Consider the following 19,894-nt stretch of genomic DNA (forward strand, 5'->3'; position numbering starts at 1 on the left):
TTTTTGTTGTTGTATTTTTAATTTCTAGGCTTATTTAATTTTTTTGTTTTTGTTTTCTTTGAGACAGGGTCTTGCTCAGTGATCCAGATCAGAGTGCAGTGGCACAATAATGGCTTATCACTTCATTTTTTGTTTGTTTGTTTTTTGTATTTTGAGACAGAGTCTCCCTCTGTCACCCAGGCTAGAGTGCAGTGGCACAATCTTGGCTCACAATCTTGGTCACCGCAACCTCCATCTCCCGGGTTCAGGTGATTCTCCTGCCTCAGCCTCCTGAGTAGCTGGGACTACACCACACCTGGCTAATTTTTTGTATTTTTAGTAGAGACGGGGGTTTCACCATGTTGTCCAGGCTGGTCTCGAACTCTCAACCTCAAGTGATCCACCTGCCTCTGTCTCCCTAAGTGCTAGGATTACAGGCATGAGCCACCACGTCCAGCCAATTAAAAAAAATAAAATTTCATTTGGCTCATAAAGAACTCCAGAATGTATTAATCACAGTTATTTCCAAGTATGTACCTAATTACTTATAACTAGGTAACCTGTGGTTATAGTCTATTGCTTATTTTTTTCCTCAGGGTCTTATTTCATGATATACCTTATTTATTTAACTCTCTACTTTGTGTATGAAAAATTGTGGATGCTCTGGATGATGTTGAGGCAGATCAACTTAATCCAATCAAGGACAGAGCTGGCTCAGCCTAGGTTTTTGTAAGGCTTGGTCTATTTCTGATGTCCTTTTATTTTTAGAATATATCTCTCCAGGGTTTTCGACTGAGAGCCTAGGGACAATGCTACTTGGGAAACAAGTCTGGAATTTGAATTTTTAGCTCATTAGCACCATGAAACTGCCAGAAACATCTCTCTGCATTTCTTAGGCTTTGTGCGTGGAATTTTAACCTCCCTGATTGAATAGCTTGATAATTCAGTAAATGTTTTTGGGGGAAACCAAAAAATGTCACTATTCTGTATTATCTTTCTCTGGGATCTTGGCTCCTCCATTCCTGACTGCCTTTGTCAGTCCTGAATTCTATTTTTTTTTTCCCCAATTCCTGAGAGATTGGCAAAGCCTTGCTGATTTTTCTGTCTCTTTTGAGTATTCATTTGCTTGTATCCCCGGGCTTTCCATTCCTGTTCCATGAGTCAGTAGGTGCTCCAAAGAGAACAGCAACATAGATAGCATCAGCTCACCTCTTAGGGCTTCTTTCTTTCTGGTATTTTGGTTTTCCAAGGCCTAAATGCCTTTGAAGCTCTACAATTGCTTCACAAAGATGTACTTTGAATTGTAGCATGAGTTCTCTAATTCTTGATGAGATCATCGTTTCTACATGCTCCTTTATCAAAGGTAGATGCAGTAATCCTGATTTAGTCTGCAATGGGGCATCACTCTTTTTAGAAATCCTAGGTGATTTTCAAGTGAAGTCCAAATTGAAATACAGTGTTTTTTCTATTTCACAAAACATTCTTTTTGTATTTTGCTGTTTTTTTCTTATCATATCATCTGGGGTCAATTTACATTTTCACAAACTTTCAAATTAATGTATGTACATAGAGTTGAATAAACCTATCCCTTACATTTAATTTTTTTTCTTTTATCTGCAGTTTTTTTCCCATTCTTTCATTTTTAATATTTATATTTGTACCTTTCTTTATGGCTTGATAGCCTTATGTTGGTTTATTTTGTTTTCTAAATATCAACTCTTTGATTATCTCTATTTGATATCAGCTCATTTATTTTGTCTATTTTTTTCTAATTCATTATTTTTTGGTTTTTAATATTGTTAAATTGATTCTTCTGTCATAGTTTTATCTACTTGTTTTCTATAATTGTTTTACTTGGATGTTAATTTTATTATTTTTTATTAATTAATATACATACTTAAGGCTATGAATTTTTCTCTGAATACACATGCAGCCACATCTCATAGGTACTGATATGTACTAGTTTCATTAGCATTATTTTCTTTAAATTTTGAACCTGCAGCTATTTGGCCCATAGTAATATGTCCAGTGGGTTTAAATTTTGAATAACATTGAATGTTTATGAAGAAGGTCTTATTTTAATGGAGTTTTCAAACTGTTTAGAAAGGGACAGTTTCCATAGTAATGTGAAACAGAAATTAGTCCAAGTTTTGAGTAGAAAAGGGATCTACTCACTGTTTAAATAGATTCTGGGTTTTTATTTTAGGTATCCTTCGAAAACTTAGTGCAGTCCACCACTTAAAAATTACTCGTTTAGTTTTGGTTTTATTTTCTCTTCTGAAATAGGAGGGCCAAGAACTAGCCATGGCTACCTAGCAGTTGGGTCCATCATAGTCAAGTGAAGGGGGCCTCAATATCTGCTGGAAGTCTCATAACTTTTTGTCTTTAAAGAACTAGTAAAAATATGATTTGCGGTTGAAAGTCAGGTTTACTTCTCATTATTGTTTGTTTAGTCCTCATCCTTCAGTGACTTATAGATTCTTTGATGATGAATGTTAATTAAAATATATTAGCAAAAAGGAACACAGATTTTTTAAAGGAACGAATAGAGATTACAGAGGGATTTATGAGTGCCCAAGACTTTGCTTTATTTCTCATTAAGTGATTTGTTACCATATTTCTTCAATCTATTTTTTCCTACCAAACCTTTCCTTGTATTTTTAATTGTTAGTATTTACTCAAAATGATTTTGATTGATAACGTACTAAATGACATTACATAACATTTACAGTCGGCCCTTCTTATCCACAGGTTTTGCATCCTTGAATTCAACCAACCACAGATTAGAGATATTAAAATATAAATAAATGTTTAAAATAATAATACAACTCCAAAAATAATACAAGTAAAAATACATATAGCAACTGTTTACGTAGCATTTATATTGCATTAGGTATTATAAATAACCTAGAGATGATGTGAAGTATATGGGAAAAGGTGCATAGGTCATATGCAGATACTACATTATTTTATAAAAGGAACATGAACAACTGCATATTTGGGTATCCTTATGGGGGTGTTGGACCCAGTCCCCCACAGATATTGAGGGAAAACTGCACTACAAACTGAAAAGAAATGGTACTTGGCAGCTATAGAGGGCATGGCACTGGGGATAAGGAAAAGGAAAAAGCCATTGCCAGAGAGAAAACAAGGAGAAAATATATGACTAGCTCCTTACCTAGGAGGAAAACAAAAATAGTTACTGCTTTAATTTGATCTAAGGCAAATCCATAATTGACATTAGAGTGAAGGGCATTTTTGGCTTGTCCCAGGTGATTTCATTTCAGAAACATTTCAACTAGGGCAATAATTCATTACTTTCACTTTCTGAGCTGCAGTCAGAGCTGTGGTCAATGATATCATAAGGAGTGATCCAGAAAACAGAGTCCTTGGAAAAACAAATCTCTCTCTCTTTTTTTTTTTAAGCTATTTGCACATTTAGATAGCCTGTCATTGCACTAATTCCTGAGGAAATCAAATAAGGCAACCACTCAATTTACTCATCAGGACACTCAGGAAGAGGCTGAAGGAGATCTCTGGGTCTGCAGGGAATAGGAAATAACAGTATAAAAAAGCAAAGTGATTGTATTCATCAGGAAAGCTGTATTTGCTGTTTCAAGATCATGTATATAACAAAAAGGAATCTTGCTGTGAGTTTAAGATAGGTGTAAGATTCTATTGGCACAGGAGTCATTTCTGAGGGCCCTCAGACACCCATCCACCAGCTGGATTGCTCTGCTTCCTTTCAATATCTTGGTAGACCAATGCATATGGAGATTATATACCATGTATTAAGAAGCGCATGTAATTATGTCAAGAGTAGAGGTGGTTGAACCTTCAAATTCTGTGAAAGTCTCCTCATTTAAACCTTGGTTTTTTCACTTTCTTCTCTGTCCTTGACATTATAGAATTTGACAGATTCCAGTGAAAGAGGTGAAATGTTTTAAGGTGAAAGGGTGAAAGCACACAGCTAAAAAGTGCTAACCCAAACTATTGGAAGGGAAATCTTTCTGTTTTCAACTAATAAAATTTGCTTCTTCTTTCCCCTCCCCCACTGTTTGCTGGAAAATCCTTTTTCCACATATGAAATTTCTAAAAGTAGATGATAAATTTCCATAGGGCATAGACTGAAGGACTGTATTCTTTCTCCAAATCTCTTCTCTTTCCTGTTATCCTCAGCTCTCCTTCCATGCACATTAGCACCTAGTGTAAGGTATGAGAAAAAGTAAATCAATTGATTTTTCAAATAATCATATACCTTTTACATCCAGATTAGTGTTTCAACCTTCCATGTGACCCTGTGTGGTGCTATAGGTATTGCAGTAGTGATGCCCATGTGAAACCATTTTGGATCCTCCCCTTTATGAACTACCTTATGCTTGTGCAGCAGAGTTTATAAAATCCTTTTAGGTAGCAAAAATCTTCATTGACTCAATATGCATTTTTTAATAATATCTATTATATCTCTGCATCTATTGTAGCTCTGAAATATGCATAGAGAACCTACTACGAACTTGTAATTACGTGGAATGCAAATGTCACCTCCATGGCTTGGACCCCCCGCCCCCGCTCCGCCGCCCCCTGAAGAGTCTAGATCGTGATTTTTCAATGCATCAGAACTTGTTTCTATACTGAAGAGGCAGTGTTTTCTCCCACATGCCTGTCCTTACAACTTTTCTTTAAAAACAAAAAGTTCTATTAACATATTAATTAAACTGTAGTATTATGTAACATATATCAATCATATGATAGATTATACATGGTAAGAATTCCCAGGCAAACTCAATATTTTGACAACACTTCCATTATTTTACTTTAACTTCCTCTTGGCCCCATACTTTAAGATATGTGCAGTTTCGTCTTGATTTTTCTAAGCTTGCCTATTTTGGTCTTTAAGACTTTTGTCAGTCATTATTTTACATACAGCCTTTGCCCACTCACTTCCTGGAGGTGGTACTGGCAAACAGCACATGCTTGTTTTTGGAGATAGACAAAAAACCAAAACAAAAACCACTCAGATTCATTCTAGGCAAACCAACTGTATTAGTCAGCTCTCATTCTGCTAATAAAGACATACCCAAGACTGGGTAATTTATAAAGGAAAGAGGTTTGATGTACTCACAGATCCACATGGCTGGGGAGGCCTCACAATTATGGCGGAAGATGAAGGAAGAGCAAAGGTACGTCTTGCATGATGGCAGGCAAGAGGGTGTGTGCAGGGGAACTGCGCTTCATAAAACCATCAGATCTCATGAAACTTATTCACTATCATGAGAAAAGCACTGGAAAAACCCACTCCCATGATTGAGTTACCTCCCATTGGTTCCCTGTCATGACACTTGGGGATTATGGGAGCTACAATTCCAGATGAGATTTGAGTGGTGACACAACCAGCCAAACCATGTCACTAACATTATCTGGACCTTCTGTAATAGTCACCATAGCCTTCCCGCCTTCTCACTCTCTCTCTCTCTCTCTCCTCCTCCACCCCACCCCCACCCCACTGAAATGCCATTTCTGGTTGTAGGAAACCCAGTCAGAGCCCACAACATGGCTCTCTTCTGGAGTCAAGCCCAGTAATCTCTCCTCAGTTTTTCTGGGTTACACACACAAAAATTAGTGAGACATGTTATCTCCCAGAAAAGCATGTCTTTCTATAATGGATTTGATTTTGAGAGAATCAAATGCCTTTCAAGGCCAAGTCTAGAGAATAATTTAGATGATCAGGCTGAGGAATTTCATCATTTAATTGCGTTTTTTATGTCTAAAAAGCATTATTGTGTTCCAGGCTAGGTATAGAGTAGTAAACAAGTAACATTACATCTATACATATGGAGTTTTTAATTAAAAGAATATGCACTTGTCCCTCAGTGTCCATGGTGGGTTTGTTCCAGGAACCCTTGCAGATATCAAAATCCACAAATGCTGAAGTCTTTTGTATAAAATGGTATAATATTTGCATCTAACCTACACACATCTTCTTATACTTTAAACCATGTCTAGGTTATTTGTAATGCCTAATACAGTATAAATGCTATGTAAATAGTTGTTATAACATATTTTTAAATTTTTTATTGTTATATTGTAAGTTTTTACTTTTTTGAATATTTTCTATCTGTGTGTGGTTGAATCTGAAGATGCAGAACCTATGAATACAGAGAGGTGACTTTACACATACCTAAAAGTTAGGACTTTCAATGGCTTCTGCTTTTCATAGGGCTAAAATAGTGTTCATAATGTCTTTGCCAACCAGTTGTTTACCAGACCACAGTTCTAACACCTTCCAATCACTTTGATTTGTTCATTTTCCCTAGTTTTGAAGGATAATTAAAATAAAGCCAGGCTCTATTTAAGTAGAACTGTTGCATTGGGGTTATAGCTATGCAAGGCAGTTCTTATGCCATTTTGCTTTTTGTTGTTGTTGTTAATGAGGATGACTGTTGGGGTGGCAGGAAGAGGTACAGGAATAATTAAATCTCTACATTTGGGCATTTGTGAACTGAAGTGATTTACCTGGGCATGTAATTGCCTTTTCACTTAACTTATAATTTCTAGGAAGAAATGAGAGAGAAGGAAGCAAATATTAGAGTCAACAGGAATTACACTGAATTTTTGGCTATGTCAACTCTGCTATTTAGCGGAGTATTATTGCACTGATTACCTGAAGCATTAATATTTTCAGATCTGGGTCAGTTTGGATTCTTTGAGAAGTGACCCTGAATTCTGAGTACAAGAGGTTTATTGGGAGTAAATGATAAAAATGGCAGAAACCAGATAGTGCAGGGAGATCTTCAGATGACATGCAGACCTAACAATGATTCAGTCAAGGCTCAACCCAATGGGGAGGTCTACAGCAAAGATTTTCCATAAGAGAAGCCCTGTTTCAGGTGGAAACAGCTAGGCCCTAGACAGCTACTGTGGTCAGTCACTGGCTGGAAGGGCTACAGGAAGAGCAAGGCCTCAGCTTAAGATCCTATGGGCTCCATAGCTGAATGCTGTCAGCTAACTTTGTACCTTACAGCTGAATGGTATGTTCTTTCTTGAAGGGTTGTCCAAGCAGCACACTTCCATGGCTGCCGCAGTCTCAGGTATATCTTTCAGCCTCTGCTCTTTCATCCACTGGGGCAACTGGACCTTGCAGACTTAGGTAGAGATGTCATACAGGAATATGGAGGGTAAGAAATAGTCAAGGCTTGGCTTTGAGTCCTAAAATAGACTTTTGATATGCATGGCTGTGACCAATGTTTGAGATAAAAGTTATATTTATAAAAAGCCTATATGATAGTCAATGAAATGTAGAATAGGAGAATTTTGTGACCAGAGAAAGGTATTGTCACCTTCTAGATGACGAGGAATTGTTCTTGCACATCTTGGTAATTTTTCCATAAAGAAGAAACACTTTTTTTTCTAATTTGCATAATTTTCTTGTACATTAGCAGGGGCTCTGCCAATACACTGCTTTCTGCTGGGAGTCTGAGAAAATCACAGGGACTTAGAAGTCTTTCCATCCAGTCAAGGTACAGATGAGTAGAGAATGTCAGGTGGATTATTTATGATTGTGGGCCTGAAGGATCCTCATCAGGTCTTATACAATCCAGCACAGTGCTGGGAGGTGTAGAAAATCTCCTCCTGAAGTTGAAAGCAGTGCTGAGGTTGTACTAGAGCCAGAAGACCTGGAGAGACCTGAGAGTAGAAAAAGGAGCTTTTCTAGAGAAGTAAGGAACTGAGAGCCAAAGAGCATATGAGAGTTAGTGTATGGCAAGTGGATAAGTAATGTTGACTTAGAGTTCATTTTTCCCTAATGAGTACCTAGGGGACTCAGTGACAGCTCTGGGGAGAAATGGGAAGGATCTTAAATTGATGGAAAAAACTCACATATGTCAAATTACCTAAATTCAGTGAGGTTAAATATATGCCATTCTGAAAAATATGGGACTCAAGTATTAATAGTTGGGTGGGAGAAAAATGACAATATTTACATTTGTTTTCACAGCTTAGTTTTTGACTTGAAAAATTAGAACCTCCTGCACATTAATAAATAACTGAGGTTCCAGGTTGAAGTGAATTGCTTAAGGTATTAGAAATAGTTATATGAAAGTACAGGACTTGGACTCAGACTTTCTGACACCAACCACAGTGTTCTTTAACATACAGCATCCTGCTTTCTTTCTGCAATCTGTTTGGAAAGCCAGCTAGCGCTGTGCAGTGTTTGGCACACAGAAGGTGCTAGATAAATGCATGTTAGTGAATGTTAATTGACTCATTTACTGCATCCATGAAGGTTGAATTAGCTGCACACACGAGGCTGAGAGGATTTAGTCCCATGCTTTAATAAGCAAACCATGACAAGCTAAAGTGCCTTAGAAGAAGGGAGAGGCAGTTGAAACCAGGATTTTAAACCATTGGAACCACTGATCTGTTTACACACATGATGCCAGGATCTCGCTAGTGAATATTACAGAAGCATTTCCACAGCCAAAGTACTGTGCACAGAGCTAGCACCCTGCAAGGACAGCTAGAGCTGAATTTACACCTTTTTTTCAGGAGCATACCACCTACCATTTATTCCAGACAGCAGGCCTCTCAGTCCTGTGAGGCTCTTTCAGCATTCTATCTCCTTCTGCCCCCTTATGTCTACCCCACCACCATGAAGTCTGGGAGCCAGACCAACTTATTTTATATTTCAAAAGCAAAGGATTTAATGTTCTTGCATTGATTCACAAAGTAAATTTCACTTTAATATGCACATGCACACATACACCCAAAGCAAAATGTGCATTTGCTGACAGATTTCTTTTTTAAATTAAAAAAAAATGTGTGTGTTTATTTTTTTAGAGATGGGATCTCACTGTGTTGCCAAGACTGGACTCAAACTCTTGAGTTTAAGTGATCCTCCTGCCTCAGCCTGTTAAGTAGCTGGGATGACAGCACACACCACCATGCCTGGATTGCTGACACATTTTTTAATTTGTAGATCCATTGTAAGAGCAAAAAAAAAAATAGTGTTTAAAATGAGGTAAAACCAGAAAAAATCCAAATGTCCATCAACAGGGGAATGGATAAAGAAACAGGTGCATTTATACGTGGAATAGTACTCAGTAATATGAAAGAACAAACCACTTACACCTACAACAGCGTGAATGAGACTCAAAAACATTACGCTGAGCAAAAGAAGCCAGGAACACAAACACAAAACACTACACTTATATAAGTTTGTGGGACAGGCGAAAGAAATGTTTGGTTAAAAATAATAGAAAATTAGTTGCCTCTAGAGTGATAGTTGCCTGGAAAAGGATACAAGGTAACTTTCCGGAATGATAGAATTATACATTTAGGATCTGTGAATTTTACTCTATGTTAATTATACCTCAAAACTAATAAATATATTGAATTTAAAAAGTAAAGTTCTCAAAAGAGGCTGGAGAAATGGCTGCAAATGATGTTAAGAGATGGCCACGTGGTGATTTCCATTAGCCGCATTGTCTCCAAGATGATATCTACTTTCTTTGGCAATACTGGACTCCATTAATAGAAGTGCTGGATGGTTTTATAGTGGACAGAGATTAGGTAATATAACTCTTTGAATAATTTGTCACTGGCTCTATGGAGAATATTTTAAGTCATTTTTTAAATAAAAAAAGCTCATTGTATATTTTATGTGACAGGGAATACCAGTTTAGAGCAGGTATATGTCATAATAATCAATTAAACATTTAAAAAATAATTAACCCATCCTCTTATTAAAGAAACTCAGGTTCAAAGATTTCAACCTGAAGTGGTGATATTTTAGTCTTGAACGAAATCCTGGTTTTTATTTATGACTTTGCATATGATAGTACTTACTCAGTGGTTGTTATAAGGATCAAATCAAGTGTCATGTATAATAGCACCTTGTAAATAATAAAGCACGACATAAATGTACACCACTTAAATTAATGTGGAAACAACAACAATCAAACTTTTTTTTTATTTTTGAGATAGAGTCTCCCTCTATTGCCCAGGCTGGAGTGCAATGGTGCAATCTCGGCTCACTGCAACCTCCACCTCCTGGGTTCAAGTGATTCTCCTGCCTCAGCCTCCCTATTTGGTGGGACTACAGGCGTGAACCACCACACCTGGCTAGTTTTTTTGTATTTGTAGTAGAGACGGGGTTTCACCATATTGGCCAGGCTGGTCTCGAATTCTTGACCTCGTGATCCACCCGCCTCAACCTCCCAAAGTGCTGGGATTACAGGCATGAGCCACCGTGCCTGGCCAACAATCAGACTTTTTACCTTTAAGTTAGAATAATGCTAGGGATACCATAGGAATAACACATTAAGTAGACATACTGTTCTCCTACAGTGATTTTGACCATTTTAATGTAAAAATTGTGATATATTTACATTTGGCTAGGTATATATTATATTTACTCACCCTCACCTAACGCTCCAGTACATTTCCATTCACCCTAATCTTTAGTAATGATCTACAAAAAAATTAACCAATTATGGTATACATCTTCATTTAAACACTATTTTGACAAGCACCAGGTACTTAGTGTGGGGTTGGTATAGGGGTACAGCATGAAGGGGAAGGATACGTTGGCTTTTTTTTTTTCTTTTTTTGAGACAGAGTTTTGCTCTTGTTGTCCAGGCTGGAGTGCAGTGGCGTGATATCGACTCACCACAACCTCTGCCTCCTGGGTTCAAGAGATTCTCCTGCCTCAGCCTCCTGAGTAGCTAGGATTACAGGCATGCGCCACCACACCCAGCTAATTTTGTATTTTTAGTAGAGATGGGGTTTCTTCATGTTGGTCAGTCTGGTCTCGAACTCCTGACCTCAGGTGATCCGCCCACCTCGGCCTCCCAAAGTACTGGGATTACAGGCGTGAGCCACCGTGCCCAGCCTTATGTTGGCTTTTCTAAATCACTGCCTCAGTGCCTTTCAATGTAAAGTACTTAGATTTTTCATTTTGCTGTGTCCACTCATTTGTTTTCTTCCTCCAATTATTTTATGATGGTTGCCTTTGCTGAAAGTATTTTACTTCGGCTTCACAAAAAAAGAAGTATCAGGTAAGTAGAATTTGGCACCATCTGTTTGGAGCTTAGTTATGATGTATTGGTGCCTTTTTCTAGATGATAAAAATTTGGAAATGCTAAGTGCACATTGAAAGCAATATTGCAGTAATTTAATGCACAGGTGTCTAAGGCACTGCTGGCAAGATGGACAAGATAATTTAAATGCTGAATGTAACTGCCTCGGGCTTTAGGAAATTAAAGAAACCCAGTGAGAGAAGAAGTTTTTCGTTGTAATCTGTATTAATTATCTCAGAATATATTTAGTGCACATTATTTGTTAAATAGATCTAGGATTTTAGAAATAATTGAAGTGGACAGATTTTTGTAATGCCCATGAAAGCTTAGAGGCTGTCCTCTTAAAATATTGTTCAAAATAAAATGCTGCAGAAAAGTATGACTGATAATTTGGCAATAAGGTGAAAGGCACTTTGCTAAAGTGTTTTCAAGTATGGATTCTGGAATTTGACAGACCTCTCTTCAGATATTTATTCTATCACTTCCTTGGTATGTGATCTATAATTAACTACATTCTCTTAAGCTTCAATCTTTAGTCTCTTTATCTATAAAATGGGCATATTAGTAGTAACTATTTCAGTTATTGATTGTTGTGAAACAAAGCACCTCCCAAATTTATTTATTTATTTATTTTTTAACCTTTTTTTTTTTTTTTGAGATGGAGTCTCGCTCTGTCACCCAGGCTGGCCTGCAATGGCACAATCTCGGCTCACTTGCAAGCTCCGCCTCCCGGATTCAGGCCATTCTCCTGCCTCAGCCTCCCGAGTAGCTGGGACTACAGGTGCCTGCAACCACACTCGGCTAATTTTTTGTATTTTTAGTAGAGACGGGGTTTCACCATGTTAGCCAGGACGGTCTCGGTCTCCTGACCTCATGATCTGCCTGCCTTGGCTTCCCAAAGCGCTGGGATTACAGGTGTGAGCCACCACGCCCGGCCTATTTTTTAACCTTTAAGTTCAGGGGTACATGGTTAGGTAAATTTGTGTCATGGAGGTTTGTTGTACGGATTATTTTGTCACCCAGGTATTAAGCCTAGTACCCATTTGTTATTTTTCCTGTCTTACCCCTCCTCCCACCCTCCACCCTCTGGTAGTCCCTAGTGTCTGTTGTTCCCCTCTATATGTCCATGTGTTCTTATCATTTAGCTCTCACTTACATGTGAGAATATGCAGTATTTGGTTTTCTGTTCCTGCATTAGTTTACTGAGGATAATGGCCTCTAGCTCCATCTATGTTCCTGCAAAGGACAAAATCTCATTCTTTGTAATGGCTGCATAGTATTTCATTGGACTTTGGTCCAAGATGGCCAAATAGGAACAGCCCCAGTCTACAGCTTCCAGCGTGAGCAACTCAGAAGACAGGTGATTTCTGCATTTCCAACAGAGGTGCCAGGTTCATCTCACTGGGGCTCGTCGGACAGTGGGTGCAGGACAGTGGGTGCAGTGCACCAAGTGTGAGCTGAAGCAGGGCGAGGCATCACCTCACCCAGGAAGCGCAAGGGGTCACAGAATTCCCTTTCATAGCCAAGCAAAGCTGTGACAGACGGCACCTGGAAAATTGGGTCATTCCCACCCTAATACTGCGCTTTTCCAACGGTCTTAGCAAACGGCACACCAGGAGATTATGTCCTGCACCTGGCTCGGAGGGTCCCATGCCCACGGAGCCTCACTCATTGCTAGCACAGCAGTCTGAGATCAAACTGCAAGGTGGCAGTGAGGCTGGGGGAGGGGCGCCCGCCATTGCTGAGGCTTGAGTAGGTAAACAAAGCGACTGGGAAGCTAGAACTGGATGGAGCCCACCGCAGCTCAAGGAGGCCTGCCTGCCTCTGTAGACTCCACCTCTCGGGGCAGGGCATAGCCAAACAAAAGGCAGCAGAAACCTCTGCAGACTTAAATGTCCCTGTCTGACAGCTTTGAAGAGAGTAGTCGTTCTCCCAGCACGGAGTTTGAGATCTGAGAATGGACAGACTGCCTCCTCAAGTGGGTCCCTGACTCCCCAGTAGCCTATCTGGGAGGCCTCCCCCAGTAGGGGCAGAGTGACACCCCAAAATTTAAAATAACAATTGACTACATAATTATTTGGGCTGAGTTGGTTTTATTTTTTTTTCTTCATGAGGTGTCAGCTTGGGTGCTAGAAAGACAGGTCATTTGGAATCTCAATGCAGACTTAGAGGTGGAAACTGGGGGCCCTTGGTTCTTCTCCACGTGGCTGCTTGGATTACCTTGCTGTTTGGCATCTGAGTTCCTTAATGAAATACTCCAAGAGTAAACAATCCAAGAAGGAGAAAGTGGAAGCTTTCAGGCCAGTTAAGAGTAGGCCCAGAATTGGTAGCACCATTTCCACCATATTCTGTTCATTGATTGTGAAGATTAATGAAATAAAATTTAAGTACTTTACGCAGACCCTAGTTCATAATAAACCTTTATTCAGGTTTTGCTAATGTTGATATTACACCAGTATACAGTTATAACTAAGATTACAGGAAATGGTGTCAGGGCAGCTGGATTGAGACTTAAGAAAATGAAACATATGTAGGCACTATAAATGGAGAGTCTTTAAAGGTCATCTGGTCAACCTAACTCACTTTACAATTCTATAAAAGCAGTCTCAAAGAGGGGCAGGACTTACTCAAGGTTACACAGTTTATGGAAGAGTTGAAACTTAGGCTCCTACCTAGACCATTGTTTTTTAGAGTGGACAAGTTTCTTCCTTTCTCTGGGGCTTCAGTTCCTCCGTCTGTAAAATGGAGACAGCAATAGTACTTCTCTTAAAGTGGTGTTGTAAGGATTTCATGAGTTGATACATGTAAAGTACTTGTTACTGTGTTTTAAAAGTATGTTCGATAACTGATACCACTTCTACATCAATTCTTCTAATATTATTATTTTCATCATTATCATTACTCCATACTGTTTATAGGAGCTGCTTGAGTACATCTTGGTTGGATTGATGTTATTCTGGATTTTGAGTCCAAGTTTTATTTCACACAATATCCCCCCAGAGTAGGAGTCTGGCATTAATTAAAGATGAAATTAATTTTACTACACTCAGCACCCTTGCCAGCTCTGTATCCTTTCTTTTCTACTTGTGAAGAGGCCACATGCTATTCAGTGCACCGAAGGTCTGCCAATTCGTAGTGAAGCTGGTTTGAGTATTTCCTGCAACCTCCAGAGAAACCATCCTTGTGACCTTAAACACAATTTTTATACCAACGATCTCTATGTTAGTAGATGCAGTCTGGAATTAATTATTCAACTGCCTATTTAACACCACTCTTTAGATGTCTAAAAGTCATCTCAAACACCAAAATTGAATTCCTGATTTTTCCACTGAAACTGATTCAGCTTTCCCCATTACAGTTGATGACAACTTTGTCTTTCCATTTGTTCAGGCTAAAAGGTTAGAGGCCCAAAAGCCTTTATATTTGACTCCTCTCTTTCTCTCACACTCTGTCCAGTATTTTAAAGCCCTGTTGCCTCTCTCTCCAAAATATACTCAGAATCTCAAGAATTCTCAGTACCTTCACATATACCACCCTGACCTAACCCATTATCATTATCTCTCTGCACGGTTTCTGTGATAGCTTCCCGGTTAGTCTCCTGTTTTCCCCCTTGCTTTACCCAAAACTTATTCTCAACATGGTAGCTATAGAGATCCTTCTAAAATGTAAGTCAGATCTTTTCACTACCCTGCTCCTCAAACTGCCTTTTTCCTTCTCCCTGTTTTGCAAATTCCTCTCTTACGACTCTTCCTCTCATTGCTCACTTTTTTACAGCCACACCACCTCCCTTGCTGCTCAGCAGACACAACAGGGATAGTCCAACCTTGGTCCCTTTGCTTACCTGATCTTCCAGTTAGGACATTCTTCTACCAAATATCTACTTAGGTAACTTATTAGATTTCTTTCTTTTAGTCTGTGCTTGAAACTCATTTTTGACCGGGCATAGTGGCTCACGCCTGTAATCCCAGCACTTTGGGAGGCCGAGGCAGGGGATCACCTGAGGTCAGGAGTTCAAGACTAACCTGGCCAACCTGGTGAAACCCCATCTCTACTAAAAAATACAAAAATTAGCCGGGTATGGTGGCGAGCACCTGTAATCCCAGCTACTCTGAAAGCTGAGGTGGGAGAATTGCTTGAACCTGGGAGGCGGAAGTTACAGTGAGCCGAGATTGCACCATTGCACTCCAGCCTGGGTGACAGAGCAAGACTCTGTCTCAAAAACAAAAACAAAACAACAACAACAAAAAAAGAAACTCAATTTGTCAGTGCCACCTGTCTTGATCATCCTCTTTTATAATGCATTCTGTTTCTACTATTTCTACCCTACTGTTCTCCACACTTCTCATCCTCCTTTTCTACTCTACTTACTTTTTGTTTTGCCATAGCACATATCACCAGGCAACATACTGTAAAATTTACTGATTTATTATGTTTATTTTTTGTCCTCCTACATTTGAATATAAACTTCACGAGGTAAAATTTATTTACTCTGTTTACTTACAAATATATATTCAAGTGCCTAGAAGAGTGCCTGAAGAGGTAATTGCCTAATAAATATTTGTGGATGAATGAACAAGTTTTAGAGTTTAACTAAAATAAATTGCCATCAAACCAGGAAAGCCGTCTCTAAAGGCTATAATGTCTCTTATCTCATCCACTCATGTGGCTTCCATACAAGTTCTACATAATTACTTCTCCAACAATTCTTCCATTTCTTTTTTCTTTCTCTCTCTCTCTTTCTTCCATACTCCAACTTTAATATATAGCTCCCTACAAAATATTTCCATGTGGATAACCCAAAAACATGAAATTTAACATGTTGAAACTTGAATTCTTAATCCACTGTATTCTCTTCCTTCTCTTGTGTGCACTATCTTGGCTAATGACATCACCATCCATTGAATCATTTAATTCAAAAACCATTGATGTAGAATGTTATTAGTCAGATTGAGGCCTCAGAGTTACTAGAATTAGTCACAAACACAGAAGCAAAATAACACCATTTTTCGGTCACTGTTTCAGATAAAAAGCAGACAAATACTTATATTTAACCATGGCTGCTGAGACGATGCAAGATGAAGAACTAAAATTGTATGCAAAGGTATAATTTTAGTGATGGGCCATAAAATCTCATTTAGGTAAGGAATAAATTGAGTACATGGGGGTATTGTACAGTAAAAAGAGGTTCAATAATTAGATTAAAAGTTAAAGTTGGTGGAGTTGAATAATTGTCAGAATCAAGATACCAAAGTTAGAGAGCTGGAAATATAGGCAAGTTTTTGAAATTTTGATTTTGGAAATGGTATATCTATTAGTAATAAGATGTAAGTTATTATTTACATTATATATTAATGTTATTACTAAATTATTTCCAAGTTATAAACATAGAAAATGAGTGGGAGCAGTATCATGGAAAACAAGAAAATTGGAGTTGAGGATGTAAAAAAATGAAGAGGCTAGAACACTGAGTATGCTATATTTGGGGTTACTGATTTCATTAAGGAGATGACAGACATACTAGCAGAGAGGAAGATAGTAAGCAGGATGCCATTTTTCAGTGGCTCTGAGGAAGTGACTGGGATGCAGTGGATAGCTTTAGACTTCCATAGACCAAGAGTTCACCCAAATTCCTTAAATCTGGTCTCTTCCCAAGATGTATTTATTGATTTTCCTCTAAAATCAGTTGATTTTTCTCCATCTTCTCTGCCGCTGTCTTAGTTCATATTCATGTAATTTCAAACCAGGTTATTACAATAGTCTCTAAATTGTTTTTTAAACCTCTGTGAATCCCAAACAGATTTTTTTTTAAATGAGAAAATTTGTTAAACTAATAAATGAATAAATAGCATTTTTCTTAGTTGGTGATAATATAATATAGCCAACACTACTTATTGCCTCTCCAGAATGCATTGCCATCTTGTTTTTGCTTAATAGCAAAATCTTTTTATTTTTTTCAGGTATCTGCTCTACATTCATGTGCTTACAGGAAAACTAAAACCATTTCCTGTGCAAAGAATGCCAGATTAGGTCATGGACAGTGTTTCTCAAAAAGGATCTCTTGACATTTTAGTTGATACTATTCTTCCTTGTGCAGGGGTGTCCATGCATTGCTAAATATTTAGAAGCCCAGATATGTTCTGCGAAATATCGATAGAGTATCCAGACATTGTGACAAGAAAAATGCCTCATAGTATTATTGTCTAATTGTGAACCATGAGTCTAAGTATGCAGAGAAGATATGGGATCCAATACTGACTATTAAGAAGTAAAGAAAATTGTATTGGGAAACACCTATGAAAAGTTTATTCATATTTTCTGGAAGACCACAGTAAGACACGCCCTTTTCCTCTGGAGTATGTCAGGTCCATGTTGATCACCTTGACTGCTATCTTGCTACCATCCTGGAAATGAAACCATCCTCAAGCATGTTGAACTGGAAGAATACCGAAACCCAGAGTCTTTGTGAATTGCTAAATCAAATGACTCTGAGGTTCATACTATCTTGGGATTTCCTTTTGTATCAGATAACAAAATTTTTCACATTTATACTAGTTTCACTAGGGATTTCCATTACTTATAGCTCAAAGCACCCTAAGTAATCCATATAATATACTGGTCCTTAAACTTACCTGAATAAAAGGGAAATTTTAAACCAGATAGCTTATTATTGTTGAAAGGTAAAACCAAATTTGTATTACAAGGTATTTCTCTCTCTTTCTCCTCCTAATCCATTCAGATAATTGATTTAAAGGCAGAGAAAAAAACATTTGGAAAAAATAACAGGCGGCTTTGTTGCTTCAATCAAATATATATCGACTTCTTTGCTAGAGGAAATGAGAAATAAGCTTCTGTCTCCTACAGCTTATTGGTAGAATCAGTCCTTTGCTATTTCTAGATTGATCCATTATCTTCATTATCTTTCCCCCTCTTTTTTTCTTTAAAAGAAAAGAGGCTGCTTTTTGGGAGGAGCTGGATACAAGGACCAACCAATGTATCAATTTCAACTTTTTAGTGGACACAATGGAGTAAGTCAAAAGGACTTTTTGGTTATCACAAGAAACAAATTCTTTCCAGAGAAGTTCTCTGCATCCATAAGCAGAAGAAAGGAGGCTCCAACCAGTCTTTAGGGCCAATTTCACAGTTCAGGTGTATTTTTGACTCACTAGCTACAGGTAGGAACAATGCACAGCAGAACACCAGAGAGAAAAGTAAAGAGGGAAACTTGGCTGAAAGTAAGGAAGTTTTACAAGGTCAAGTCTTTTTTTCTGAGTGATTCAATGTGTAACTTACTTGAAAGCACTGATGATAGAGTTAACACGTTGTTGCAGGACTTATGCAGAAATAGAAACTGCATCTCTTTGATGTATTCCTTTTGGAGAAGCCTTCATCTAGTAGATCACAGTGGAGGAGAGTTTTAGTTCTCCCAGTCTTGATTCTGTCCCTTGAAGAGGTTAGGAAATAGGGCTGTAAACTTCCTCCTGGAACATGTAAATGAGAGATAAATCTACATTCCTTTGAAGACTGTTTGGATATTCATCAGGCATTCCTGAAATGTAATCACTCTATTTAAACAGCTCTTAGATAGTTGAAATTGCCTGCCAGTAAAAGGAGGAAGTGGGGGGACAGAGAGAAGCTGGCTTGAATTGCAGGGATGAGGGTTTTAGGGATGCTGGAGGTCTAAAACTGTCCTCCAAGAGTCTTGACTATAATCATTCTCCTTCTATCCTTTCGGGCAGTTTCCCAGTGAGCGCACTCTACTTTTATGCAGTGACATCTCCCCGTTTCTAGCAAGCTCTACTGGTAACAGAAACAAACCACGTAATATTCCACTACTGTGATATAATAGGCCTCTTAGCTTTTCTCAGCTTGCTTCAATATTCATCTGAGTAAAACTTAAGTTTTCTAAGTTTTTTTTTTTAAATGATACGTTATCTCCTTCCATTTTTCAAAGGGTTAAAACTGTTTGTTGTCTCTGGTAAAAACTTGTAGTGGATATTTGTCTTTTTCTTTTCTCTCTCTTTCTCTTTTTCTCTCTCTCTCTCTCTCTCTCTCTCTCTTTTCTCTTTCTGACTTCCCAGCAGCTCCTCCTTCTTTCTGTTATTGGAAGGTTTCAGAGCCCACTTCTTACTGTACAAACTTAAAATTGGAGAACGTAGTTTCCTATTCACTCTTTTAGGAAGGACTCAGACATGTGACATAAGCTTAACAATCAGATAAACTTGAACCCAGAGATAGTTACAAAAAGGATGGTAGAGGAGAATCCCTTCTGTTGTTCGTCCATTGGTATACTTTCCTGGCGTGCGCTGCCAGCAGCAGCAGGCTGTGTCTCCTCCCGGCAGCAGGAGGTGCTGTGCAAGGTGAGTCATCCAGTATTGGACTGTAGTTGCTGCCATGCTCACAGGACTGGTTCTGTGGGACGGTTTGACTTATGAAAATGGCTGCCTAACTTACCCTATTTCTTCCTGTTTTCTGAATCCTATTCTTAAGGCTGCTGTGCTCAGGTATATATATGTGGCCATTTTCGACATCTTTTAATATGTACCTCATGATTCATCAAAGTTAATGTTTTCACTGCCTCCTGAATTCATTTTCAAAGTAAATCCATTCCTAGTTCACTATCAGGTGAAGAAACTTTAAATCAGTGGTAATCAACTAGGGATGATTTTATTCCAAGGGGGACATTTGGAAATCTCTGGAGATAATATTGGTTGTGTTTTTCACAACAGAGAGGGTGGTACTGGCATATAGTGGGGAGCACAAGACAGACCCCCACAACAAAGAAATATCTACCCTAGGCTTTATTTTGCTGAGGGTGAGAAACCCTGTTTTAAAGACAGACA

At 38.4% G+C, this 19,894-nt stretch overlaps 1 annotated feature.

Annotated features, from left to right (window-relative positions):
• Positions 19,231-19,525: an enhancer, noted in NCBI's record as "tiled region #9567; HepG2 Activating non-DNase unmatched - State 13:Ctcf, and K562 Activating non-DNase unmatched - State 24:Quies". NCBI's record gives its function as "activates a minimal TATA promoter and a strong SV40 promoter by Sharpr-MPRA in HepG2 and K562 cells {active_cell/tissue: HepG2 | K562}" and the evidence as "EXISTENCE:reporter gene assay evidence [ECO:0000049][PMID:27701403]".

The sequence above is a fragment of the Homo sapiens genome, chromosome 3, assembly GCF_000001405.40.
Source record: "Homo sapiens chromosome 3, GRCh38.p14 Primary Assembly".
Lineage (NCBI taxonomy): Eukaryota > Metazoa > Chordata > Mammalia > Primates > Hominidae > Homo > Homo sapiens.